The sequence below is a fragment of the Homo sapiens genome, chromosome 4 (genome assembly GCF_000001405.40).
Source record: "Homo sapiens chromosome 4, GRCh38.p14 Primary Assembly".
Lineage (NCBI taxonomy): Eukaryota > Metazoa > Chordata > Mammalia > Primates > Hominidae > Homo > Homo sapiens.
The window spans coordinates 52,201,624-52,202,984 of NC_000004.12; the positions used below are offsets into that span (position 1 = coordinate 52,201,624).

The 1,361-nt window shown below is 42.8% G+C and overlaps 1 annotated feature.

Annotated features, from left to right (window-relative positions):
- Positions 454 to 1,129: an enhancer, noted in NCBI's record as "OCT4-NANOG hESC enhancer chr4:53068243-53068918 (GRCh37/hg19 assembly coordinates)". NCBI's record gives its function as "activates a minimal SCP1, AML or CMV promoter by ChIP-STARR-seq in naive H9 embryonic stem cells {active_cell/tissue: H9 hESC(naive)}" and the evidence as "EXISTENCE:reporter gene assay evidence [ECO:0000049][PMID:30033119]".

Consider the following 1,361-nt stretch of genomic DNA (forward strand, 5'->3'; position numbering starts at 1 on the left):
ACCCCCCCAAAGATATCTACATCCTAATTCCCAGGGCATGTGAATACATTAGATTGCATGGTAAAGAGAGAATTAAGGTTGGAAACAGAATTAAGGCTTCTAATCAGCTGACTTATAAATAAGGGAGATTATTCTGAGTTATTGGGTAGGCCCAATATAATTACAAGGGCCCTTAAATGTGGAAGAGGGAATCAGAAGATAGAACCACAGTGATGTAGTGTTAGACCTGGCCCATCCTTGCTGGCTGTGAAGATGGAGGAAAGCAGCCACTAGCCAAGGAATGTGAAGAATGCAAGAAAGACAGGATCTCCCCTATAGCTTCCAAAGGAATCCAGCCTTGCCGACACCTTGATTTTAGTGCAGGAAGACCCATTTGGACTTCTGCCCTGCAGAACTCTAAGATAATAAATTTGTGTGGTTTTAGGTCACTAAATTTGGGGTCATTTGTTGCAACAGCAATAGGAAAGGAACATGCCATCTCTGACTCCATTATCACAACCAATGTAGAACTGGCTCTTTTTCATTATTTAGCCTAACTGCCTCAGTCTCCTCTTCCTATCACCAGTACTCTACCCAGGCTGCTAGGACACAGAAAAGAATTGTCCACCTTCAATTATCATCTGAGAAACAACTCACAGAAACGTGCTTAAAGGTCTTCAATTCAAGGTCTAGGTATAATTCAGCTTCTCAAGATAACGGCACTTGAATCCTAAAGAGTGGATGAGCTGTTCATGTGTTTCCTTTGAACTCAGCCTCTGTAACTCACCAGGGGAGGTGTGAGGCAGCAGCCCACAGGCAGAGTTATTCAGCAGTCCTCTCTCCTGAGGGGCTCTTCTCCCCACCAGGCCCATCTGTTTGCATTCTGTTGGGCAGGAACAACTCAAAAGGGATTTAGCCTCTCCTTTATGCCAGCTTCAGGGAGAGCCAAATGTGGCTCTGTCAACAAGTAGGAGATCAAAGAGCTACCACTCCTCACCCCTAGCCAAGCAGAAAGGAGGCCACGTGGAGTACCTCTCTCCCTCTAGGAGGGCTGCAATGACCATCTCCTTATATGTTGTGTTACCTTGGCCTCTCGGAATTTAAGTGAGACCTTGACCACTACAGAGTTTTCAGTTTATTAACACTACAGGCATATCCAGATGTGTTTTAAGAAACTGTATATTTTAAATGTTTACATTTAATAGATTAACACATTTAACCCATAAAAAAGCAATGCCATGTAATGATGCAATTCAGGACTTATAAAAAAATTAATTCATAGTACACTACAGGCACTGTAGATTGCTAATGGGGTATGTAGTAAGTTGAGGTAATGCAACATCATCTTTGAATTCTGTCCGTTCATTTCTGTGACTCTTTGG